Source organism: Homo sapiens, chromosome 11 (assembly GCF_000001405.40).
Source record: "Homo sapiens chromosome 11, GRCh38.p14 Primary Assembly".
NCBI classification, from domain to species: Eukaryota; Metazoa; Chordata; class Mammalia; order Primates; family Hominidae; genus Homo; species Homo sapiens.
In genome coordinates, this window is record NC_000011.10 from 71,608,213 (window position 1) to 71,636,147 (window position 27,935).

A 27,935-nucleotide genomic window follows, 5' to 3' on the forward strand; every position below is an offset into this window, starting at 1 on the left:
GCCCTTCCTCCCTCCTGAGGCCCCGCCCCCCCATACCTGCCTGCCTTTGCCAGCCCCAGCCAGGAGAAGGGAGCGGCGGAGCGGCTGGCAGAGACAGAGGAGGGTGTGACGGCGTTGCTGGTCCCCCATGGGTCCAGAGGGCGAGACAGACTCCCGAGGCACACCCTCCAGGGGCCCTCGGCCCTCCAGCGACCATCCCCGAGTCGGACAGGGTCCACTTCCGAGCCACGGTGGGGTCACCCTGTGCCCAGTAGGGGCCTTGGAAGTGGTGGTTGGAGGCCAGGTACGCTCGGTTACTACCCTTTCCCTGCTACAGCCTCAGCTGCGATGCCCACGAGAAACAGGCTGGTGGAGGGGCAGACCCCCTACAAGGCCTGAAGGTGCCGTTCCTCCACCCGCTCCTCTTGTGGCCAGAAGAGAGGGACACCCCCGCCATGAAGAGCTCTGAACGGTTGGGTGAGGACAAGTGGGGGCCGTGGGAGGGCCATGGAGCCCCCAGCTGCACCCCAGCAGGCCCGGGGCTGGTCCACACCATTCCTCACTCTCCACAGCCTCTCTACCCCTGACTTTGGCGAGACCCTCGTCCGTACCTCCAGGCTCCATGCCTGCCTCAGCATCGCTCTATGGATTCTCCCAGCCCTAAACTGGCCCCATCTCTCCTCTCTGCCCTCATGTGAGTTTGGTTCTTGAAGCCTCTAGTGGTCCCTGGGGCCAGACTCTGTGGCCTTGGACAGGGAGTCTCCCATCTGAGCCACAGGTTCCTTCTCTGTTGAGTGTGTGAGGGAACATGTTGGAGCCCTTAGTGTGGCGGCTAAGAGCCAGGGGAGGATAGGGTCTGGTTTTTACTCCCCGTACCCCGGGTGGGGTCTCACCCCCCTGCGATGGGGCTCCTAAGAGCCAGGGGGGAGAGGGGCTGGCTCTTACTCCCCGTATCACAGGAGGTGTGTACAACCCCTGCGATATTGGGAGTAATGTCATCCTCTCCCCCTGAATATAAGAAACAATATCACAGGAGGATGTACACCCCCCGCGATATTGGAAGTAACATCATTTTCTCCCCCTCCGGATATTCGGAACAATATCACAGTGGGTGTGTACAGCCCCTGCGACATTGCCGCTAGTATCTTCCTCTCCCTCCCAGGATAGAAGGAAGAATGTCACAAGGGGGTGTACACCCCCTGCGATATTGGCTGTAATATCTTCCTCTCCCCCGCTGCCCTTTAGGAGCAATGTCACACAAGGGGTGTACACTCCCGGCTATATTGGGAGTGATATCATCCTCTCCGTCCCTCTATATTAGGAACAATATCCCTAGGGAGTGTACACATCCTGCAATATTCAGACTAATATCATCCTTTCGCCCCCCTGGATATTAGGATCAATATCACAAGGGTGGTGTGCACCCCCGGCGAAATTGGAAGAAATATCATCATCTCCACTTTTGGATGTTAGGGACAGTATCTCGTGGGAGGTGTCCGCCTGCTGCGATATTGGGAGTCATATCATCCGCTCCCACCCAGGATATTAGGAACAAGATGACCGAAGGGATGTACACCCACTGTGCTATTTTCAATAATGTCATCCTCTACCCCCCGGCTATTAGGAGTAACATCATAGAGGGGTGTACACTTTCTGCGATATAGGGAGTCTTATCTTCTCTCCCACGGATATCGGGAACAGTTTTATTAATTATTAATATTAATAAATAATAAAAAATTAATAGTAATCATCAATATTAATAATTACAGTAGAGACAGTAAAACAGTACAGATGAAAAATACTAACAGGTGAGGCCCCCGCGATGCGGGCAGTCATATCACCCCCCTCTGGATATGATGATTCACGTCGCAGGGGGGCGGGCGCCCCTGCGATGCGGGGAGTCATATCACTCCCCCTCTCCCACCCTGGATATGACGATCCACGGTGGTCACACAGCGTGTTCACGTTATTGTCAGTAATATCTTCCCCGCCTCTGGAAATTACCAACTATGTCACAGATGGGTGCACATCCTCTGCGCTCTTTGGAGTAATAGCATCCTCTTTCCCCTTGATATTAAGAACAATATCACAGGAGTGTTTTTACCCCTAGGGGCATTCCGTGTAGTATCATCCTCTCCCAAGTTGAAATTAGGAACAATATCACTGGGGGCGTGTCCACCCTGTGCGATATTGAAAGTAACATCATCCTCTTCTCTCCTGGATCATGGGAACCATATCACTGGGGTTGTGTACACTTTCTGCGGTATTGGGAGTAAGATCATCCTCTCCGCCTTGGAATATTAAGGACCATATCACAGTGGGGCTGTACACACCCTGTGCTATGAAGACGAGTATTATCCTCCCCTGCCCTGCACATTGGAAAAAATATCACAGAGTGGGTGTACACCTCCTGCGATGGGGGGGTGATATCATCTTCTCTTCTTCTGGATAATAGCAACAATAATACACGGGTTTGTACACTTTCTGTGATATTGGGAGTAATATCAACCTCTCCACCTTTGAATATTAAGAACAATATCACAGACTGGATGTACACCCCCTGCGATATTGGGAGTCATATCAGCCTCTCCTCTCCGTGGATATTAGGAATAATATCTCAGGATGGGTGTACACCTCCTGCTGTATGGGGAGTCATATCGTCCTCTCCCTTCCTGGCTGCTAGGAACAATATCAGAGGGTGGGTGTACACAGCCTTCGACATTGCGAGTAATATCACCCTCTCCCCCTCCAGATATTAGGAACTATGTCACAGAAGGGATGTACACTTCCTGAGATACTGGGAGTAATAGCATTCTCTTCTTCCGGGAATATTAGGAGGAATATCACCGGGTGGATGCACACCCACTGCTATCTTGGGAGTAACGTCATACGCCACCCCCTGGAGATGATATTCAGATCAATATCACCGGGTGGGTGTACACCTACTGCAATATTGAACGTCATATCATGCTCTCTCCCTCCCTGGACATTAGGAACAATATCACAGGTGGGTGCACACCCACTGAGGTATTAGGGATAATATTCATATTAATTCTTCCTCATTTATTAACATGAATATGTATTACCAATATTAATATTAAGAAATCATTGCTAAAAATAGTGTTCATATTATTAATATTAATGTTAATTATTAGGAGCTAATATGACAGTTTTCTAATGAATAAGATCAATATCACTCTTTAAGACCAGGCGTCATTAATCATTAATATTAATGATTTATTGTTATCGTGAGTATAACTCTTTAATACGAATTATCATTATTATCGGTATTGATTTTAAGAATTATATGATCAGTTATTAATATTGATAATTATCAGTATCAATTAATAATTGAGATTATTAATTGCGGTAAGTAACATTGCGCCATTGCACCCCTCCCTCGGCAGCTTGTTTACGACCCAAAACGGGGATCCAAATGCCCCTGAGAGCAGCGGCATACTCGGAGAGAGGAGGATGGTCACGTGGTGGAGAGGCGTGTTTTTGTGTACCAGCCCTTCACCTCTGCCGACCTTCTCAACTGGGAAAACAATACCCAGTCCTAGAGCGAAAAGCCGCAAGCCCTAATTGATTTTCTCCAAACTGTTATCCAGACCCACAACCCCACCTGGGCTGATCGCCACCGGTTGCTCATGTTCCTCTTTAAGAGAGATGAAAGGCGAAAGGCGGAGAGGGCTCCACGCAGCAACTAAGTGGCTAGAGGAACATGCACCAGCTGATTACCAAAACCCCCAAGAGTATGGAAGGACCCAGTTACCAGGAACCCACCCCTAGTTGGACCCACATGAAAGAGAGGATATGCAAAGGCTAAACCGAGACAGGGAAGCTCTCTTGGAAGGATTCAAGAGGGGAGCTCAGAAGGCCACAAACGTTAACAGGGTCTCTGAGGTCATTCAGGGAAAAGAAGAAAGTCCAGCACAATTCTACCAGAGACTGTGTGAGGCCTATGGTATGTATACTCCCCTTGATCCCGATAACCCTGAAAATCAGCGCATGAGTCACATGGCTTTAGTCCGTCAAAACGCGGAAGACGTTAGAAGACTGCAGAAGCAGGCTGGGCTTGCAGGGATGAATACATCACATTGATGAGAAATAGCTAAGCAGGTGTTTGTAAACAGGGATGCAGTAAGCCGCGAGGGAAAGCGCAAAGAGAATGAAGGTCTGGCCCCGTGAAACGCCGACCTGTTTGTTAGCTGCAGCAATCAGAGCTGTCCCCCCAAAGAAGCAAGGGAAGGGGGGCCCTGGAAAAGAAACTCAGCTTGGCTGTCAGAGTTTGCAGCATAACCAGTGTGCTTATTGTAAAGAAATAGGACAGTGGAAGAACAAATGCCCTCAGCTCAAAAGAAAACAAGGTGACTCAGAGCAGGAGGCCCCGGACAAGGAGGAAAGGGCCCTGCTCATCCTGGTAGAAGGGTTATTGGACTGAGGGAGACCGGGCTCAAGTGTCCCCAAAGAGCCTCTGGTCAGAATGACAGTCGAGGGTAAAGACATTGATTTTCTTATAGATACCGGTGCTGAACATTCGCTAGTAACCGCCCCGGTCGCCCCCTTATCCAGAAAGACTATAGACGTCACCGGAGCCACGGGGGCTTCAGCAAAGCAAGCTTTCTGCTTGCCTGGGACTTGCACTATAGGAGGACATCAAGTGATTCATCAGTTTTTGTACATGCCTGACTGTCCCTTGCCCTTGTTGGGAAGGGACTTGCTTAGCAAGCTGAGAGCTGCTCTCTCTTTGACAGAACACAGCTCTTTGCTGCTAAAGTTACCCGCCACGGGAGTCATTATGACCCTTACGGTCCCCCGAGAGGAGGAATGGAGAGTTTTCTGAACTGAGGCGGGCCAAGAGAGAAGACCAGCTCTGGCTAAGCGGTGGCCAAGAGTACGGGCAGAAGACAACCCACCAGGGTTGGCCAGTTAAGACTGGGTCCCAGCCGCTTAGGCAAAAACAGGACCCGGTCCCCAGAGAAGCTCTTCAAGGTATCCAGGTCCATCTTAAGCACCTAAGAACTTTTGGTATGATAGTTCCTTGTAAGTCTCCACGGAATACTACCCTCCTACCTATTCCCAAACCATGTACCAAGGACAGGATTCGCACTTGCTTAGTCAAGCTACTCTGACTTTCCATCCAACAGTACCTAGCCCGTCCACATTGTTGGGGTTGCTGCCAGCTGAGGACGGCTGGTTCACCTGCTTGGACCTGAGAGACGCTTTCTTTCCTATCAGATTAGCCCTGAGATCCAGAAGCTGTTTGCCTTTCAGTGGGAAGATCCGGAGTCAGGTGTCACTACTCAGTACACTTGGACCGGGCTTCCCCAAGGGTTCAAGGACTCCCCCACCATCTTCGGGGGGGCGTTGGCTCGAGACCTCCAGAAGTTTCCCAGCAGAGACCTAGGCTGCGCTTTGCTCCGCTAGGTTGATGAGCTTTTGCTGGGACACCCCACGGCAGTCGGGTGTGCCAAGGGAACGGATTGCCCTACGCCGACACCTGGAGGACTGTGGGTATAAGGTGTCCAAGAAGAAAGCTCAGATCTGCCGACAGCAGGTACGTTCCTTGGGATTTACTATCAGACAGGGGGAACGCAGCCCGGGATCAGAAAGAAAGCAGGTCATTTGCAATCTAGCAGAGCCTAAGAGCAGAAGGCAGGTGAGAGAATTCTTAGGAGCTGTGGGGTTTTGTAGACTGTGGATCCCAAACTTTGCAGTATTAGCCAAGCCTTTGTATGAGGTCACCAAGGGGGCGGGGACCGGGAACTTTTTGAATGGGGATCCCAACAACAGCAAGTCTTTCATGAGTTAAAGGAGAAACTTATGTCAGCCCCAGCCCTGGGGCTACCCGATCTGACAAAGCCTTTTTCATCCTATGTGCCAGAGAGAGAGAAAAGATGGCAGCCGGACTTTGAACCCAAACTGTGGGGCCCTGGCCGAGGCCGGTGGCCTACCTCTCTAAACAACTAGACTGGGTCTCTAAAGGATGGCCCCTGTGTTTGGGGGCCTTGGCAGCAACTGCACTGCTAGTACAAGAAGCAAAGAAGCTGACTCTTGGGCAAAACCTGAACAGAAAGGCCCCCCATACTGTGGTGACTTTAATGAATACTAAAGGACATCATTGGCTAACGAATGCCAGACTCACCAAGTACCAGACTTTGCTCTGTGAAAATCCCCGTATAACCATTGAAGTTTGTAACACCCTGCCACCTTGCTCCCGCTGTCAGAGAGCCCTGTCGAGCATGATTGTGTAGAAGTGTTGGACTCAGTTGACTCTAGCAGACCTGACATCCGGGACCAAGCTTGGGCATCAGTACACTGGGAACTATACGTGCATGGGAGCAGCTTCATCAACACCTAAGGAGAGAGAGGTGCAGGGTATGCGTGATAACCTGGACACTGTTGTTGAAGCCAGATCGATGCCCCAGGGCACTTCAGCCCAGAAAGCTGAACTCATTGCTTTCATTCGGGCCTTAGAACTCAGTGAGGGTGAGACTGTCAACATTTACACTGATTCTCGGTACGTCTTTTTAACCCTTCACGTGCATGGAGCGTGATAGAAAGAAAAGGGCCTATTGGACTCTGGGGGAAAAGGCACAAAATATCAACCAGAAATCTTCCATGTATTAGAAGCAGTATGGAAACCCCACAAGGTGGCAGTTATGCATTGCAGGGGACACCAGCGAGCTTCCACCTTGGTGGGCTTGGGGAATTCCCGCGCTGACTCAGAGGCTCAAAAGCAGCATCTGCCCCTTTCCAGGCATCAGTCACAGCTCCTCTGCTCCCTCAAGCACCTGATCTTGGACCTGCTTATTCTAAAGAAGAAAAGGACTTTCTCCAGGTAGAGGGAAGGACAAGCGATGGAGGAAGGATGGATTCGGTTACCGGATGGGAGAGTAGCTGTGCCACAGCTGCTAGGAGCTGCAGTTGTACTTGCTGTGCAAGAAACCACCCATCTAGGTCAGGAGTCACTGCAAAAAGTTGTTAGGCCGGTAGTTCTACATCTCGCCTTTCTTAGCCCTTGCCAAAACGGTGAGGCAGCGATGTGTCAGCTGCCGACAGCATCATGCGAGGCAAGGTCCAGCCGTTCCACCCGGCATACAAGCTTATGGAGCAGCCCCCTTTGAAGATCTCCAGGTAGACTTCACAGAGATGCCAAAGTGTGGAGGTAACAAGTATTTACTAGTTCTTGGGCGTACCTAATCTGTGTGGGTGGAGGCTTATCTAACATGAACTGAGAAAGCTCGTGAAGTAAGCCGTGTGCTTCTTCGAGATCTGATTCGTAGATTGGGACTGCCCTTCCGGATCGGCTCAGATAACGGGCCTGCGTTTGTGGCTGACTTGCTACAGAAGACGGCAAAGGTATTGGGGATCACACGGAAACTGCATGCCGCCTCCCGGTCTCAGAGTTCCGGAAAGGTGGAGTGGATGAATCGGACTATCAAAAATAATATTATTGTCTTTCCCGCTGGATATGTAAAACAACACCACGAGGGGCGTCAAACCACCTGCTACATTTAAGGGAATGTTATCCTCTCCCCCCCTCCACCCTTCCCGGATATTAGAGGCAAAAACACAAGGGTAATGTACACCCACTCCTTTATTGGCAGTAATGTCATCCTCTGCATTCTTGGATATTAGGAACAATATCACAGTGTGCGTGGAAGCCTGTCGTGAAATTCAATGGAATGTCATCCTGTGCCTCCCTGGATACGACGAACAATATCACGGGGCATGTAAAACTTCTGAGATATTGGGAGTGATCTCATCCTCTCCCCTCTAGAAGTTAGGGACAATATCACAGGGGTAGTGTACACCTTCTGGGACTTTGGGACTAATATCATCCTCCCACCCCCTGGATATTAAAAACCATGTCACAAGGGGCGTGTACACACACTTCGATATTGGTATGAATACCATCCTCTCCCTCTTTGGATATTCGGTGCCATATTTCAGGTGGGGTTTACACCACCCGCAATATTGGAAGTCATGTTATTTTCTCCCCCCCCAGATATTAGAAAGAATATCACAGGGGGGTGTGAACAACCCTTGCGATATTTGGAGTCATATCATCGTCTCCCCTCAAGAATATTAAGAACAATATCGTAGGGGCGGGGGTTGTATACCCCCTTTCATATTCGATATCATCCTCTTTCCCCCTGGATATTAGGAACAATATCAGGAAGGGATGTACAGACCCTGCGACATTTGCTGTCATGTAATTGTCTCTCCCCTAGATATTAGGAAAATTGTCACTGGGGATGTGAACACCCCTGCGATATTGGGAGTAGTATCATCCTCTCCCCCCTCGCATATTGGGAACAATATCACAGGTGGGGTGTACTGCCTCTGTGATATTGGGAGTACAATTATTCTCTCTTCCCCTGGATACTAGGAAGGGTATCAGAGGGGGAGGGTGTACATTCCCTGCGATACTCAACGTAACCTTATCCTCTCTCTCCCAGGGTATTCAGAACAATATCACAGGAGGGGTGTACACCCACTGCGAAATTGAGAGTCATATCATCCTCTTTCGCTCTGGATATTAGGAACAATATCACAGGGTTTTGTACACACCCTGCGATATTGGGAGTCATATCATCCTCTCTCCCTGTGGATATTAGGAAGAGTATCACAGGGCTGTCGAAACCCCCAGCGGTACTGGGAGTAATATCATCCTCTCGCCCTCTGGATATGAGGAAGATTTTCACAGGGCTGTGTACACCCCCTGCGATATTGGGAGTAATATCATCCTCTCCACCCAGGAAATGACTAACAAGGTCACGGGGGGGTGAACTCCCCCTGCGATATTGGGAGTAATGTCGTCCTCCCCAAACCTGGATGTTAGCAACAAGATCACAGAGGGGGTGTACACACCCTGAGATATTGGAAGTAATATGATCCTCTCCCCACCTGGATATGGGGAAGATATCACAGCGCGGATTTACGTTTCCTACGCTGTTGGGAGTAATATCATTCTCTTCCTTTCGGGATATTAGGAAGAATATCACAGGGGTGCTGTACAATTATTTCGATATTGGGAGTACTATCATCCTCTATTTTCCTGGATATTGGGCCCAATAACACAAAAAGCTGTACAACCCCTGCGATATTGGGAGTAATAGCATACTCTCCTTCCCTGGATGTTAGAAAACAATATCATCAGGGCTGAACACCCCCCGCGATAATGGGAGTAATATTGACTCTTTCACAGGCCATTTGGAACAATATCACAGGGGGTGTTTACAAACAGGGGTGGTGTACAACCCCTGTGATATTGGGAGTAACATCATTCTCTCCACCTACTGATATTAAGAACAATATCCCGGTGGGAGGTGGTACACCCCCAGTGATATTGGGAATAATGTCATCCTCTCCTTCCCTGGATATTAGGAACAATATCACAAGGGGATGTACACCTTCCGTGATATTGGAATCAATATCATCCTCTCCCTCGCTGGATATTAGAAAAAAATATCACTCACGGTGTCCACCCACTGTGATATTAGGAAGAATATTACAGGGTGTACACCCACTCTGACTTTAGGAGAAATAGCTCCCTCAAATGTCACAAATAATACCACAGGGTATACAGTGACATCTCCCTAGGATATTGCAAATACTATCACAAGGTGTACACCCACTGTGATAACAGGAGTAATACGTCCCAAGGATACTACCAAGAATATCACAAAGCTGTACACCCTCTATGACATAAGAAGTGATACCTCCCTAGGGTGTTACGAATAACATCACAGAATGTACACCTATGGTGTGCACCCACAGTGATATTAGGTGTAATATCAACCCAGGACATAACCAATAAGACCACAGGGAGTACATATGTGATGTACACCCACGGTGATGTTATGAGAACTATCTCCCTAGGATAATACGAATAACATCACAGAGTGGATACACATGGTATACACCCACTGTGGCACTAGGACTAATAACTTTCTAAGATATTACCAATAGCATCACAGAATAGAAACACATGGTGTACACCCACTGTAACATTAGGTGTAATTTCTCCCTAGGATATTACAAGTAACATCTCAGTGCGTACACACATGGTGTACACCCACTGTGACATTAAGGGTAATATCCCCCTAGGATATTACCAATAACATCACAGGGTGTCCACCCATGGTGTACACGCACTGTGATGTTAGGGATAATATCTCCCTGGGATATGATGAATAATACCACAGGGTGTACAGAAACTGTGATATTAGAGGTAATATCTCTAATATCACAGGGTGTACACCCACTGTGATACTGGGAGCAATATCTCTCTAGGATAGTACAAATAATATCACAGAGTGTACACACACTGTGATATTAGGAGAAATATCTCTCTGGGATATCACGAATTATATCACAGAGTGTACCCACATGATGTACATCCACTTTGATATTAGGAGTAATATCGTCCTAGGACATTACAAATAACCTCACAGAGTGTACACCCACTGTAATACTAGGAATAGTATCACCCTACGGGATCACCAATAATATCACAGGGTGTACACCCACTGTGGTATGAGGAGTAATATCTTCCTAGGGTATTACGAATAATTTCACAGTCTGTACACACATGGTGTACACTCACTGTGATATTAGGAGTAACATCTACCTAGTGGATGACAAATAACATCGCAGGGTGTACATCCACTTTGAAATTAGCTGTAATATTTTTCTAAGTTGTTACAAATAAGATCACAGGGTGTACAAACATGGTGTACACTCACTGTGATATCAGGAGTCATATCTCCGTAATATATTATGAATAATATCACAGGGTGTACACCCACTATATTATTAGGAGTAATATCTCTGTAGGATATTACAATTAAGATCACAGGGTGTACAGCCACTGTGATATTAGGAGCAATATCTTTCTAGGATATTACAAATAATATCACAGGGTGTACGCCCACTCTGCTGTCAGGAGCAACATCTCCCCAGGATATCAAAAATCCTATCACAGGGTGTCCAATCTCTGCCTTCCAGGTTCTAAGGGATTCTCCTGCTTCAGCCTCCCGAGTAGCTAGGGTTACCCGCCACCATGCCCGTCTAATTTTTATTTTCACTGGAGACGGGGTTTCACCACGTTGGCCAGGCTGGTCTGGAACTCCTGACCTCAGGTGATCCATCAGCCTCGGCCGCCCAAAGTGCTGGGATTACAGGTGTGAGCCATGGCGCTCGGCCAAGAGTTATATATTCAATTCATTTGGAAACACAGCTCCCATATTTGAGTGTGCATGTACTTTTTTGAAGAAATGATGTCAGAAAACCTAAGGATGATAATAAATATTAAAAGTAACAGGCATGTGAAAAGATCTTCCGATTAAGAACTCTAAGTTGCGATTTCGTTTTTAGATAATGCGGTCCTAGCTCTTGTATCGTCCTTTTACATATTCTACATCAAAGGAATTTGTAGCACGGTGTCAGAATAAAATAGAGTGTATTTCACGGCTTCTTAATTTCTTTCAATTAGACTGAGATCTTTTTCTTCAAGAGAGAAGAACATTTTCATTGCATTCTATTTATTTCTGAAAAGAGTAGGCCGTATTTTACTGAGATCACGGATTTCTTATATATGACGTTTTGGTCTTCTAACATTCTTCAGTGGATTTTCTCTGAAGTAGTATGTACAGAAAGCCTTGTATAGCAAAAAAGTAAATCATGTCATAATTCTGAGATTTTTGGATTTGTCACAACTGAGAAACATTGCTGACGGTGTATGGTCCGCAAGTGTGAAAATGTTCCTTGTGAATTGCTTGCATCCAAAATATACACACAGTATTAAGGGCTGGTTTTTATCTTTTATTTTTCCAATCCTCTTTTCTTCCCAAGGTGTCCAAGTCACACAGAGCCACAGAATCTCACAGGTGTCTGAGAATTCCTCCTCCTGGGACTCTCAGAGGATCCAGAACTGCAGCCCATCCTGGCTGGTCTGTCCCTGTCCATGTATCTGGTCACGGTGCTGAGGAACCTGCTCATCATCCTGGCTGTCAGCTCTGACCCCCACCTCCACACCCCCATGTGCTTCTTCCTCTCCAACCTGTGCTGGGCTGACATCGGTTTCACCTTGGCCACGGTTCCTAAGATGATTGTGGACATGCAGTCTCATACCAGAGTCATCTCTTATGAGGGCTGCCTGACACGGATATCTTTCTTGGTCCTTTTTGCATGTATAGAAGACATGCTCCTGACTGTGATGGCCTATGACTGCTTTGTAGCCATCTGTCGCCCTCTGCACTACCCAGTCATCGTGAATCCTCACCTCTGTGTCTTCTTCCTTTTGGTATACTTTTTCCTTAGCTTGTTGGATTCCCAGCTGCACAGTTGGATTGTGTTACAATTCACCATCATCAAGAATGTGGAAATCTCTAATTTTGTCTGTGACCCCTCTCAACTTCTCAAACTTGCCTGTTCTGACAGCGTCATCAATAGCATATTCATGTATTTCCATAGTACTATGTTTGGTTTTCTTCCCATTTCAGGGATCCTTTTGTCTTACTATAAAATCGTCCCCTCCATTCTAAGGATTTCATCATCAGATGGGAAGTATAAAGCCTTCTCCACCTGTGGCTCTCACTTGGCAGTTGTTTGCTGATTTTATGGAACAGGCATTGGCGTGTACCTGACTTCAGCTGTGTCACCACCCCCCAGGAATGGTGTGGTAGCGTCAGTGATGTACGCTGTGGTCACCCCCATGCTGAACCTTTTCATCTACAGCCTGAGAAACAGGGACATACAAAGTGCCCTGCGGAGGCTGCTCAGCAGAACAGTCGAATCTCATGATCTGTTCCATCCTTTTTCTTGTGTGGCTGAGACAGGGCAACCACATTAAATCTCTACATCTGCAAATCCTGCCCCTTAGTCACATTCTTTTTGTGGCTTGATGGCTTTTATTCCTTTCCGCATTTCCTTTGTGAATATTGCTTTCTTCGTTATGCCTTTAACTGGAATGGGTGAGGATTCTGGGACCCTTTGTTTAGCAGAAACCTCATGACAGAATCTTCTATACCTAGGCGGCCTCTTTTAGTTTCTGAGCAATAACCCTGTCATCCAGGTGGAATCACAACTATCTTTTTATATATACGAAGTCCTCACTTCGTTTTGGAATTCCCTGAAAACTGACTTTATGGAAACAATGTACAGGAGGTCCTCCAACACCATTGGTTGTTCAAAGTTGTGTAGTTATACTGTTGATGAAAAATAAGTGGTTCCACTATACATAATTTTGCTTCAAGGTGAAGTTTCCAACAGACTTTCAAAGATGTTAAGTGAGGACATACTGTACATCAAATTCATATTCTCTTCCACAGTTCATGTGGAATTTCTTTATAAACTGCTTCTATAGAATCTGTTTAGGCAGGTTATGTGGAGAGATCCACGTAGCCGTTCCTCAATCTTGGCTTTGAATCTAATCACCTGGGGAGCTTACAAATGATGAGGCCTGGGTCTCAATACCTGAGATTCTGATTTCCTTGCACCTGTGTGAGTGTGTGGATTTTTTTTTTTTTTTTTCTTTTAAAGCACCAGAGGTGGTTCCAATGACGAAGTTTTTAGAGGCATCAAGCTCCAATGAGTAAGAACAGAAATTAATTGTAATATGAGTTCTTCAAATATTATCTTCAAATGCATTGTCCATCAACACCATACAAATGTTTATTATGCTGTTTTTTCTTACCATTTCACATTTTCTATTTCTTTCTTTTCCTTTTTTTTTGAATCAGAGTTTTACTCTTGTTGCCCAGGCTGGAGTTCAATGGCACAGTCTCGTCTCACTGCAACCTCTGCCTCCCATATTCAAGCTATTCTCCTGTCTCAGCCTTCCAAGTAGCTGGGATTACAGGCATGCGCTACCATGCCTGGCTATTTTTTTTTTTTTTTTGTATTGTTAATAGAGACAGTGTTTCTCCATTTTGGTCAGGCTGGTCTTGAACTCCCGACCTCAGGTGAACGGCCCGCTTCCGCCTCCCAAAGTGCTGGGATTACAGGCATGAGGGACCGTGCCCAGCCACCACTTAGCATTTACATTTTACATTTGTTGAAGTTGTAGATTTATACACACATTGATTGCTGCTTTGTTATACACTTGCGTATACATAAGATGGGAAATAGAAAAGAATAAAATGGGCACAGTATCCCTGAAGTTTCACATTCCGAGACATTTTAAAAATATTTGCTCTTCAGAAATTTGTTTCAATGAAGAAACTGTGGTGTACACACCCAGTGAAGTATTATTCAGCCTAAAAAGGAAGAAACTCCTCTCCGCTGCAGACAAAATGGATGAGATTGCAGGTCTGTATATTAAATGAAAGAAGCCAGGCACAGAATGACAAATATTTCATGTCCTCACTTCTATGTAGGAAGAAAAAAGGAAACCTTGGCCAGGTGTGGTGGCTCAGGCCTGGAATCCCAGCACTCTCGGAGGCCGAGTCGCACGGATCACTTGAGTCCAGGAGTTTGAGACCCGCCTGGCCAACATGGTGAATCCCCGTCTCTACGGAAAACACAAACAATGAGCCAGGCGTGGTGACGCGTGTCTGTAGTCTCAGCTACTCTGAGGGCTGAGGCCCAAGAAGCACTTGAACTCGGGAGGCGGATCTTGCAGAGAGCCCGGATTGTGCCTGTATACTCCAACCTGGGCAACAGAAAGAGACTCCATGCCACACACACCTACACACAAAAGGAATCTCAGGAAGGTGGAGAGTATAAAGGTGGTTAGCAGACGCTAGGAAGAAAAGGGGTAGGATACAGAATGAAGACAAGTGGATAATTGGGTCTCAAAATACAGAAAGATGGAATAAGTGAGTTCTAGTGTTTGATAGTACAGTATGAAAATTTTAGTTCACAAAAATTGCTTGCATATTTCCAGATGCTTTGGTAAGTAGCTTCCTAACTTTCTCATTATGCTGGTTTTTAAGCTCTTCTCTTTCTGCTCTTGAAATCATGCTGGTTTTTTGTTTTTTGTTTTTTGCTTTGAGATGGAGTTTCGCTCTTGTTGCCCAGGCTGGAGTGTCATGGTGTAATCTTGGCTCACCGCAACCTCTGCCTCCTGGGTTCAAGCGATTCTCCTGCCTCCACCTCCCAAGTAGCTGGAATTACAGGCATGCGCCAGCACGTCCAATGTTATATTTCTATTAGAGACGGGAGTTTCTCCATGTCAGTCAGGCTGGTCTTCAACTCCTGACCTCAGGTGATCCATCCGCCTCGGCCTCCCAAAGTGCTGGGATTACAAGCCTGAGCGACCGCGCCCGGCCCATGCTCTATCCTTATCTGTTGTCTGTTGTTGTTTGTTTGTTTTGGAGCCCAGAAATAACTTCTCACCTATATGTTCAAATGATTTTTCACAAGAGTGCTAAGAAAGCTCATTGGTGGAACAGCAGCCTTTTCAAGAAATGGTTTTGGAGAAACTTGATTTCCACATGCAGAAGAATGAAGGTGAACCCTATGTCACACCAGGTGCAAAAATTAACACAAACTGGATCAGAGACCTCACCCCAAGCGCTAAAAGTATCATACGCCTAAAAGAAAACATTGGCCACGCTTTCATGACATCAGATTGGGCAATGTTCTCTGGGATATGACACCAAAAACATAGGCAACAAAAGAAAATTAGATTCCTTGGATTACATTTAAGTGACAGACACTTTTGTGCAGCAACAAACACTGCAAACTGAGTGAAAAGATAACCCATGGATTAGGAAAAAGATTTGCAAAGCATATGTCTGAAAAGAAGTTGATATCCATCATATATAAAGAACAGCTAGAACTAAACAACAAGAAACCCAAATCCTCCCATCAACAATGGTCATAAGACTCAAGTAGACGTGTCCCTAAAGAAGATATGGCAATGGCCAATAAGCATCTAAAATGATGTTCAAAATCACTCATCATAGGGAAGCGCAAATCAAACCAAGAATGTGACACCACACATTAGGATGGATATGATAAACAAACAGGCATTGGTGAGACTAGAGGGAAGTAGGAATGCTCGAATCTGATCGCAGGGAATGTAAAATCGTGAAGGAATGGGGAAAATAGTATGGCGTGTACTGGAAAAATTAGAAACAGAATGATCAGATGTTCCCGCAGTTTCATTTGTGGGTACCTACCAAAAAGATTTAGAAGCCAGGAGTGGAAGACAGATTTGTGTACACCGATAATCATAGCAGCATTATTCACAACAGCCAAAATGTGGAAGCAACCCAAGGGTTCGTGGACAGATGAATGAAAAACACCCTGCAGTTCCTTCATACAATGGAAGACTATTCAGCCTTAAAAAGGCAGGCACTTCTGGCAGGTGCGGTGGCTCACACCTGTAATCTCAGCGTCTTGGAAGACCGAGGTGGGCGGATGACCTGAGATCAGGAATTCAAGACCAGCCTGGCCATCTTGGTGAAACCCTGTCTCTACTGAAAATGAAAAAAATTAGGTGAGCGTGGTAGCTTGTGCCTACATTCCCAGCTACTCAAGAGGCTGAGGCACAAGAATCGCTTGAACCCGGGAAGCGGAGGTTGCAGTGAGCCCAGATTGTGCCACTGCACTCCAGCCTGTGAGACAGAGTGAGACTCCATGGAAACACAAAACAAAACATAGTCAAACGAACAAACAAAAAACAAACAAAAAAAAAACAGACAGGCACTTCCGACGCAGGCCGCAACATGGATGAATCTTGAAGACATTATCGTCAGTGAAATAAATAAATCCCAAAAGGATAAACAGGCCCAGGCTCAGTGGCTCACACCTGTAACCCCAGCCCTTTGGGAGGCTGAGCCAGGCGGATCACTTAAAGTCAGGAGTTCGAGACCAGCCTGGCCAATATGGTGAAAGCTCGTCTCTATTAAAAATACAAAAATTAGCTGGGCGTGGTAGCACACGCCTGTAATCCCAGCTTCTCGGGAGACTGAGACACAAGAATCGCTTGAACCCACTATGTGGAGGTTGCAGTCAGCCCAGACCACGCCACTGCACTCCATCCTGGGTGACAGGGAAAGACTCTGTCTCCAAAACAAAAAAATTAAACACGGTATGATTCCACTTATCTATCAAGTGTCTAGAGTAGTTAAATTCATAGCGTTACTAACTAGAAAGGTGGCCCCCAGGGGTGGGCGAGAGAGAGGAATGGAGAGCGGGTGAATGGGTGGAATTTCCATTTTGAAAGATAAAACTGTTCCGGAGACGATGGCGTTGATGGTTGCTAAACAATGTGAACGTACTTAATGTCGTTAAACTGTAAACTGAAAAAGAGTGGAAATTTTAAATGTTTATACTGGCCATTCTCTATGAACTAATATGTATTTATAATTTTTAATATTTATACGTGGTATATTTTCCCATAATAAAAGAAGGAAATTGAAGCAGTTAGATGTTTAAAAAGAAAAGAAAGAAGCGAAGAATACACACCAGCTTTCTCCTGATTAGAGGAAGAGCCCCAAAGCTTCTATAGACACTCACTTTTCTCTTCTTCTTGCAATATTATGAGGAAACCCTTAGAGGTTGGGCAACTTGGGTGACTTTGGCTAATAAGGAGCTCTGTGCCTTGAGCCACCCAGGCCACAGAATAGTAAATAGTCAGTCTGTGCCTCCAGCCCTGCAGTGTGAGATTCCAGTCCTGTGGGCTCCACTCCCGTCACCTTTATCAGGGGGCTGATGTCTCACCCTGTCTTCTTGCCAGCCTTGAGGACGGAGTCTGAGCCTCTATGGTGCACCACGCAGGGAGGACAGTGGACCTGTTCTCTGTGGTCATGGCCCAGCAGAGGGGAAGGGCAGTTCAGTGAATGTAGGCAAAAGAAAGTGAGATCAGACACTTACTGTGTCTATGTAGAAGGGAAAGACATAAGAGACTCCATTTTGAAAAAGACCTGTACTTTCAACAATTGCTTCGCTGAGATGTTGTTAATCTGTAGCTTTGCCCCAGTCACTTTGACCCAACCACTTTGACCCAACCTGAAGCTCACAAAGGCATGTGTTGTATGAAATCAAGGTTTAAGGGATCTAGGGCTGTGCAGGACGTGCCTCGTTAACAAGATGTTTCCAAGCAGTATACTTGGTAAAAGTCATCGCCATTCTCTAGTCTCAATAAACCAGGGGCAAGATACACTGTGGAAAGTCGCAGAGAACTCTGCCCTTGAAAGAGGCGTATTGTCCAAGGTTTCTCCCCATGTGATAGTCTGATAAGTGGCCTCATGGGATGAGAAAGCCCTGACCGTCCCCCAGCCTGACCCCCGTAAAGGGTCTGTGCTGAGGTGGATTAGTCAAAGAGGAAAGCCTCTTGCAGTTGAGAGAGAGGAAGGCCGCTCTCTCCTGCCTGCCGCTGGGAACTGAATGTCTTGATATAAAACCCGATTGTACATTTGTTCAATTCTGAGTTGGGAGAAAAACCGCCCTATGGTGAGAGGCGAGACATGTTTGCAGCAATGCTGCCTTGTTATTCTTTACTCCGCTGAGATGTTTGGGTGGAGAGAAACATAAATCTGGCTTACGCACACGTCCAGTCATAGTACCTTCCCGTGAACTTCATTATGACATAGATTCTATTGCTCACATCTTCGTTGCTGACCTTCTCCTTATTGTCACCCTGCCCTCCTACTACATTCCTTTTTGCTAAAATAATAAAAATAATAATCAATAAAAACTGAGGGAACTCAGAGGCCGGTGCCGGTGCAGGTCCTTGGTATGCTGAGCGCCAGTCCCCTGGGCTCACTGTTGTTTCTCTATACTTTGTCTCTGTGTCTTATTTCTTTTCTCAGTCTCTCGTCCCACATGACTAGAAATACCCACAGGTGTGGAGGGGCAGGCCACCCCTTCAAGTGAGTGCTGAGGGACGGTCGGGAGCCTTGTTTGTTTCCTCATCCTAAGGACAAACAGGGGAGTGCGGTGGGCAGATGGGAGGAGACCAATATGCAACTCTCTGCTCAGCAGACTGTGGAGTTCCTGTTCTTGGTTGTGCTGGGGGTCTCAGAAATCTTATTCAAAATTTTGCTTTCCTCCCCCACTGGTTGTCCTTTTCATAGACATCTCACCCATGATAGCAGGGAATCAGTCCCTCTAAACTATTCCCTAAGAACAACAAAGAGATTATGAAGGTGATGATGAGGATAAAGAGGATGACGACAGACACCATGACATCATGAACCCTTACTGAGGGCTTCCTAAAGGCCAGGCTCTGAGCTCTGTTCTCTATGCAGCTTGTTTCATTTCATCTGCGTAGTCTCCATGTTATTAGTGCACATTTCAGGATGATTTTACAGACTAGAAAAGGCGCAACGGATTTTCATGTAGCTTGTACCAGATCACGAAGTCAAAAAGGGCGAAGTCCAATTTGAACCAGGCAGTCTAAGTCCAGACACATGGCATTTGGCCAGTCCTCTCCCTGCATCCAACCTGTCCTCTCAAATCCTTGTCACTCAGGCCGATGGCCCTGCTCACTCTGCCCTTCCCTTTGGGGGTTCCTTGGAGACCACAGATAGACCAGTGGGTTCCACAATCACTGTGTCATGTATAGAAAGGGCAGCTGAGATCACATCAAGGATTCCAGAAAGAATTGGCACAGGATCATTCGGGACGCATCTCTCCCTTGCCCCTGTTCCTGGCTTTCTTTACAGCTCTTGACTTCCTCAAAGGAGTCATCAATTCGGAGTTTGGCTTCCATTCCTATTGAGGAAGCTGGAAAGTGTTTCAAAAATGCTCCTCCGTTGTGCCTGTGGCTAAGACCTCTGAGCTCTGCTTAAAACTTTATGAAGCTGGGCGCGGTGGCTCACTCCTGTAATCCCAGCCCTTTGGGAGGCTGAGGCAGGCGAATCACAAGGTCAGGAGTTCGAGACCAGCCTGGCCAACATGGTGAAACCCTGTCTTTACTAAAAATACAAAAAAAAAAAAAAAATTGCCAAGCATGGTGGCATATGCCTGTAATCCCAGCTACTGGGGAGGCTGAGGCAGGAGACTCCTTTGAAGCCGGAGACAGAGGTTGCAGTGAACCGAGATCACGTCACTGCACTCCAGCCTGGGCAACAGAGCAAGACTCTGTCTCAAATAAATAAATAAATGAAAATTACGAAAAAAAGTGCTTGGATGGGCTTGACAAACTTTAGCCATTAGCTCACGTACTACTTTGGAAGGGCATACCTTCAGTCACTTCACCCTTTAATCCCTTTGCTCAAGACTAAAGTTCTGAGAGGAAGTCTAATCGGCTGAGTTGTGTCCATGTGGGCAGTGCAGGAAAGGATGAAGCGGGAGGCGGCTCCAGGGACGTCTTTGGCTTCTATCATGGGGGGAGCAGGCGCCTGGATTATCCACCTTAACAAATCTGGACAAAGGAAAACGAGGTTCTCTGAGGAAGGAGACATAGAGCCCAAGGAGCTAACCAAGAGACAAATAGTCATCCTGTCTTGTCATTTTCTTTCACACTTGTGTGTACATTATCTTACACTTATCATTTTGTTTTCTTTCTCTCCTTTAATTGCACCTTGCTGCCAAAAGTTAAAATAAAATGAAAGTATTGAGATAGCTCAGTAACTGACTTTTGGTCAATTGCCTTTTCCTATAGTGAACAGCTGCCCAAACGATTGTCTCTGTCACTGCAAATTTGCAAGCGTTTGCATGATCACTCCCAATCCCCCAACACAGGGCTGTGTTACAGCACAATTTAGTTCAGTGTTTTGCTCTCTGCAACAGGGAGGTTCTCATCCATTACAGGTTGCAGTAAAAACAGGGGTACCATAAGCAACCACCTCTTTCCTCAACGATGTGATGAAAGCAAAAGCCAAGTAGCTCCATGTATCCAACTTAAAAATATAAAAATTACGCCCGTGGGCTGCAGTTGGACCTATGGCGGCGGCAGCTGTCACTGGGCCTAGCCCAGGATGTGGACCTGGGGACTCCCCAGAAGGGCAGGAGCGGGAGGCTCACGGAGCGTCGGCGGAAGGCACACAGGATGCTAAAGCTTTACAAAGGCCTCTCGGAAGGGGAGGCGTTGGGACTCCCTGCGGGGCCCGACCCCCTGGACCCCACTGATCTGAACGGGGCGCACTTCGACCCGGAAGTTTACCTGGACAAGCTGCCTAGAGAGTGCCCTCTGGCCCAGCTGATCGACAGTGAGACGGACATGGTGCAGCAGATCCGGGCTCTAGACAGCGACATGCAAACCCTGGTCTATGAGAACTACGATAAGTTCATCCCAGCCACCGAAATTGACAAACAGCATAAAACTGTATGAGGAATTGCAGGAAACCCAGAATTTCCCATATAACCTTGTAAAAGAAGAACAAAGTTGGAAGACTCACAAAAAAATGTATATACATATATATATATATACATATATATATATAAAGTTGTATTTTCGTTCTGTTGTAAATGTTTAGTAATTTCTATTGTGATTTTTCATTTAACTCATGAAAGGATATTTTTAATTTTCCAAATGTGTGCTTGTGTTTAGCTATCTTCTTGCTGTTGACTTCTAATTTTGTTGCATTATGGTCAGGAAAATGTGGTCTGGACAATGTCAATCGTATAGTGGATCTTGTTGAGACTTCTTTATGGCCTAATATGTGGCCAGTTTTTTTTTTTTCTTTGCAAATTTGCCACGTGGTTAAAAGGAATGTGGATTATTTGTTTTTTTTAGGAGAGTTTTTATTTTTAAATAGATAAGGTTCTCAGTGTAATTGAAATCTAGCTTCAATTAACAATATGCTAGATCTCTCAAACCTTAGGATGTTAGTCAGTGTAACAGTAGACTGCTGCTGAGATGAATAAACCCTGAATTCTCAGTGGGTTGGCACCCATAACATAGTCTGGTGTAGGGCAGGGGTTCTCCTTGGGGGCCCTTGTCCAACAGTGATTCAGAGATTCTGGAGGTTTCCATCTTTTAATTCTGCCATCTCAGAGTTTTTCACTTGTAGCCATATGGATAGGGAGAGAGGGAATATAGCTCACACTTGCCTTTGATAACCTTGGCCTGAAGGGATTTCTTACATTCCTATTGGTGGAAATGCAGTCACATGGTTCCAAACTAACTGCAAGTGAGGCTGGGAAACGTAGTCCTTCTGCATGTCCAGGAAGAGGAATGGTGTGAACATAGCATTGTCTTTGACACACTAAGCATGTGCTGAAGAGTTCTTACTCTTATAGGAGGTGTGTCTGTCCTGTGTAACTTTCTCAGTTTTTGCTTAGATAGTTTCAGGCAATGTTGTTTGGTGCATTCAGCTTGATGATTATTATGTCCTCTTGGCAAAGTAGTCAAGATTCCCATCAGTTTGAATGAAAGTGTTTTACAGATAGGTCAGGAAATGTTAATACTTTAAAAGGCCCTTCTATTCCTCCACTCTACAGATAAGAAGAACAGAGTCCTAGAGAGAGGAGGTCATGGGTCTCACTCATGAGTGGCAGAATTGAAACCAACATGGCAGTAACTTTGCCTTTCCCCCATCATGTTCTCCCTCTATCTTCACTCTGCTGATTTCTTCACTTGCTCCATACAGACCTCCCAGTGCCAAGTGTATAAGTGTGTCCAGAATTGGTGGGTTCTTGGTCTCACTGACTTCAAGAATGAAGCCGCGGACCCTCCTGGTGAGTGTTACAGTTCTTAAAAGTGGTGTGTCTGGAGTTTGTTCCTTCTGATGTTCAGATGTGTTTGAAGCTTCTTCCTTCTGGTGGGGTTCGTGGTCTCGCTGGCTCAGGAGTGAAGCTGCAGACCTTCACGGTGAGTGTTACAGCTCTTAAGGCTGCAGGTCTGGAGTTGTTCATTTCTCCCAGTGGGTTCATGGTCTCGCTGGCTTCAGGAGTGAAGCTGCAGACCTTCTCAGTGAGTGTTACAGCTCATAAAGGCAGTGTGGACCCAAACAGTGAGCAGCAACAAGATTTATTGCAAAGAGCAAAAGAACAAAGCTTCCACAGTGTGGAAGGGGACCCCAGTGGGTTGCCACTGCTGGCTCGGGCAGCCTGCTTTTATTTTCTTACCTGGCCCCACCCACATCCTGCTGATTGGTCCATTTTACAGAGAGCCTGAGTGGTCTGTTTTGACAGGGCACTGATTGGTGCGTTTACAATCCCTGAGCTAGACACAAAGGCTCCCCACATCCCCACTAGATTAGCTAGATACAGAGTGTCCACACAAAGGTTCTCCAAGTCCCCACCATAGTAGCTAGATACAGAGTGTCGATTGGTACATTCACAAACCCTGAGCTAGACACAGGGTGCTGAATAGTGTGTTTACAAACCTTGAGCTACATACATAGTGCCGACTGGTGTATTTACAATCCCTTAGCTAGACATAAAGGTTCTAGAAGTCCCCTCCAGACTCAGGAACCCAGTTGGCTTCACCCAGTGGATCCCGCACAGGAGCTGCAAGTGGAGCTGCCTGCCAGTCCCTCTCCGTGCGCCCACACTCCTCAGCCCTTGGGTGGTCGATGGGACTAGGTGCCGTGGAGCAGGGGGCGGTGCTTGTCGGAGAGGCTCGGGCCACGCAGGAGCCCATGGAGTGGGGAGGCTAAGGAATGGTGGGCTGCAGGTCCGGAGCCCTGCCCCACAGAGAGGCAGCTAAGGCCCGGCGAGAAGTCGAGCACAGCAACTGCTGGCCCAGGTGTTAAGCCCTTCACTGCCCGGACCAGCAAGGCCGGCTGGCAGCTCCTAGTGCGGGGCCACCAAGCCCACGCCCACCCAGAACTCCAGCCGGCAGGCAAGCAGCATGCGTAGCCCTGGTTTCAGCTCATGCCTCTCCCTCCACACCTCCCTGCAAGCTGAGGGAGCCAGCTCTGACCTTGGCCAGCCCAGAAAGGGGGTCCCACCATGCAGCTGCGTGCTGAAGGGCTCCTCAAGTGCCTCCAAAGTGGGAGCCCAGGCAAAGGAGGTGCCGAGAGCGAGCGAGGGCTGTGAGAGCTGCCAGCATGCTGTCACCTCTCATAAGGAGTGATTAATCTGAGCTTCTCCAGAAAGTCCATTCCTGGTAGGCACTGGGAATAAGAAATCTCAGAGTATAAAAAACATCAAGTGGTAGCACTTTTGTGAATGGCTCTCAAATTAGATCCTTTACCTTTTTTTTCATGAAGCACAGTTGCACAAATCACGCTTAGCCTGAGATGAAACACATATTAGAGAAAGGTTCTCTCTATAACATTACGTGTTACTCAAATGAGCATTAAAAAGAGGAGACGGGACATGCTCTCTCTAGCTATTATTACCTCCACTATACAGTTGACATACACAAGCTCACTATTGCATTATGTTTTATTCAACAAAATAACTTTAATGTTGAAGCTTAAATTGAATTCGTTAAAACATCTTTGTCTCCAGCATAATGTGCCTCAAGTGTCTTCTTGGTGCCTGAATTTTCTCCAGAATTATAGTGCTGAAGCTATGGAAATGGTGAAATTATATGCAATCTGCAAAACAATGTGGCTATAACGTGGTAATTGGCCTTCCACATAATTAAAGGAACATTTCCTCATCAGAGCTGTTCCATCAGAGACCCAAAGGCTATCGTTGTACAAATCACCCACTTAGGAAAACCTTTATTCCCAGTAGCCTATAAAAATCTGGTTATGCAAACAGATTTGCTTACTCAGTAACATTAATGGCTTCTCATATTTAAAAAGTCATCAATGTGATTGACCTATAATCTGTTTCCTCTGTGACCAAGTGTCATTTTTATTTTGACAGTTAGGAGCCTTTTGACTCTTTCACAGCTGGCATGAAGGCACAGGGAGGGAAATCTCAAAAACCAACAACCTGTGTATTCCCAGCCTATTAATCAATAGAATATCACTTCAACTGGATTAGGGTCTTTTACCTGGAAGAAAGGCTCTTATGGACATTGGAATTGGATTTTTACACTTGATATGACACCTCCTTGAGTCAGATCAGATACGTGTTTGATAGACTCTTGCCGAAAAATTGCTCCAGGGTCTGTGCAGCAGCTAAAACCTTTTTGTTGTTGTTGTTGTTGTTTTAAAAGCAGCATTAAATGTTTTCATGAAGACCTTCCCAGAAGTGATTTTATTGGGAACATGGTCTTTAGCTCTGGTCCTGAATAACTCACACTGAGGAAACCTCTAACAAGTGTTGTATTGGAAGATGTCTGATGGATGGTTGGTTTTAATAACAAATCTCTTCCCTTTTTCTGTCCCCTGTGTTCTATTCTCCTTTCTCTACACATTATTCTGGGAGGATTCACTTATTCCCAACGTCGTTTCCTCTTTATTTCAATTCCAGAGCTCTCTGTATAACTCCAGGCTGATGAATCCAACTGCCCAGTTGTTATCTCCACTTGGCTGTCTGTCTTGCATTGACCTCATCTTACCTTTCCTCTCCTGATTTCCTCTTCTGCCTGGGGTCACCACGTCAGATTCACACCACCATCCACCCAGCTTCCAAAACACCTGGGCCTCCTCCTTCATTCCTCCCTCTGTCTCAGTGAAGTTAGTCTACTGTCTCCTCTCCATCCTCACTGCCACAGCCTTGGTCCAGCCAACCATCTTGTCTCACTTGGTGTATTGCAACATCCTACCTGATCTACTCACCTCCCACTCTCCTCCAGCCAGACTGCTCTTTTTATAGCACAAAGTGGATCATTACTCCCCTGCCTAAAAACATCTACTGTCTCCCTTTGTCTACAGGATAAACATGACAAAGAGCCTTTAAGATTTGGCTCCAACTTACCTCTACATTAGTCACTTTTTACAATTATATGAACATCTCTCAGCTTCTCACCCTCTCATGTCTCGACTTTTGCACATGCTCTTCCCTCTGCTGGGAATGATCTTCCACACCTCTCCTATCAACCTGGCTAATTCCTACCATATTCTAGTCTTCAACTGAGGAGTCCTGTGGTGGAGAAGGATTTCTGACCACCTGATAGAGATTGCATGCCCACCTATCTCCTGGCTTTTTTTTTTTTTTGACGGAGTCTCGCTCTGGCAATCCAGGCTGGAGTGCAGTGGCGCGATCTTGGCTCACTGCAATCTCCGCCTCCCGGGTTCAAGCAATTCTCCCACCTCAGCCTTCTGAGTATCTGGAATTACAGGTGCCCACCACCACAACCGGCTAATGTTTTTGTATTTTTAGTAAAGACAGAATTTCACCATGTTGGCCAGGCTGTTTTCGAACTCCTGGCCTCAAGTGATCCACCCACCTTGGCCTCCCAAAGTGCTGGGATTACAGGCATGAACAACTGCACCTGGCCGATTGGGTGCCCCTTCTTTGTGCTCCCATTGCCCCAGGCATACTGTCACCATAACTCTTACCATTCTGAGTTGAAAATGATTTTTTTTTTTTGCTTTTTATTTCTCTCATTAAATGCAAAGCTCATTGAAAAGAGGATGGTGGTTGTTCACTGTTGTACTCCTAACCTTTGACTCAGTGTCCTGAGGTCGGCTCTAGAGCTGTGCACACATGTTCAGACATTGGAGCCAATCTTGTCTAGCGCCTCTTTTGAGGTGGCTTGGAGAAAAGTCAGTAGGTACTTCTCCAAGGATGAAACAGAAGTTTCACCTAAATCAGGAGTTCTTCAACTTCAGCCTGCATTACAATCCTCTGAGAGCTTGTTAAAAATACTGTCTCCTAGAGCCCATTCTTCAAGAGTCAGTGAGTTGCTTCATCATCAAGATATATACAGAATCCAGCCGGTCTTCAGCGCCAGCCTGGTCTGAGCCACTGTGGACTCCCACCTGCAGAATCTCACTGCTGGTCTCCTTTCTTCTGCTCTTACCTTCTTATCATCCATTCAAGTAGCCAGGGTGATCCTTTTTAAAAATTTTTTTAAAATTTTTTGAGATGAAGTCTCACTCTATTGCCCAGGCTGGAGTGCAGTGGTGCTATCTTGGTTCACTGCAGCCTCTACCTCCTGGGCTCAAGCCATCCTCCCACCTCAGCCTCCTGGGTAGATGGGACCACAGGCATACACCACCACACCTGGCTGATTTTTGTATTTTTTGTAAAGACAGGGTCTTGCTATGTTGCCCAGGCTAGTCTTGAACTTCTGTGTGCGCCCACCTCAGCCTCCTGCATTTTTAGGAAGCCCCTCTTGTAGGGATTTTGATGCAGAGGCCTGGGTGTCTCATATCTCCTCCCATCTCTTTCTATGTTTCTATCTCTGTCTCTGTCTCGGTCTACCTCTCTCTCTTTCTCTTTGCCTTATAGCTGCCCTGGGGACTAGACTCTGCCTTAGGCATCCCTCTGACTCCTGTTTGTTTTTACACTGAGGCTGCTTTAAGTCGCACCTTGATCTGATGCCTTGGGCTTCTGTTCCTATTGCTTGCTTTTGTTGGAAGGGCCGTGCAGCTTCTTGACAAATTGCAAAGGTGCCCACGAGTTTCCAAGTCCTCAAAAACAAAACCAGATGACAAACAAGGATGCAGCCCACAGCTGGGGAGACAGATTTCATGTCCACACAGAGGTTCAAAGATGCTGAACTGAAATCCACCCCGAAACCTGTTTTCTCTCTCATTTAAGTTCAATGTCAGCTGGGGGATTGCAGGGCAGGGCTGGTGACCATTCACAGGGCAAAGATGCTTTGAAATGTCAACTGAGAATGGTGTGGTGGTTGACAGATGGCACGTCAGGGCATAGATTAACATGGAAAGAGAAACTCACCCCTTAGGGGGAGAGTGTGAGGCTGGCAGCCACACAGAGGGCTTTTCCTGCGAGCTCTCGCACAGATGCAAACAGCCAGGAGGTTTTGCTTTCTGAGCCTGAGTGGAAGCATGTTCCTCCCTGAACATTGCCGCTCAGCAGCAAATGTTTATTCCTGTTGTATTGATTAAAAGTGCTTACCAGGCCGGGCGCGGTGGCTCAAGCTTGTAATCCCAGCACTTTGGGAGGCCAAGGCGGGCAGATCACAAAGTCAGGAAATTGAGACCATCCTGGCTAACACGGTGAAACCCCGTCTCTACTAAAAATACAAAAAATTAGCCGGGCATGGTGGCGGGCGCTTGTAGTCC

At 46.5% G+C, this 27,935-nt stretch overlaps 2 pseudogenes, besides 1 other annotated feature; both read left to right on the plus strand.

The window, feature by feature from the left end:
* Positions 395-1,009: an enhancer, noted in NCBI's record as "H3K4me1 hESC enhancer chr11:71319653-71320267 (GRCh37/hg19 assembly coordinates)". NCBI's record gives its function as "activates a minimal SCP1, AML or CMV promoter by ChIP-STARR-seq in naive H9 embryonic stem cells {active_cell/tissue: H9 hESC(naive)}" and the evidence as "EXISTENCE:reporter gene assay evidence [ECO:0000049][PMID:30033119]".
* Positions 11,888-12,810, plus strand: OR7E4P (olfactory receptor family 7 subfamily E member 4 pseudogene; annotated as a pseudogene).
* Positions 20,833-21,209, plus strand: VPS51P11 (VPS51 pseudogene 11; annotated as a pseudogene).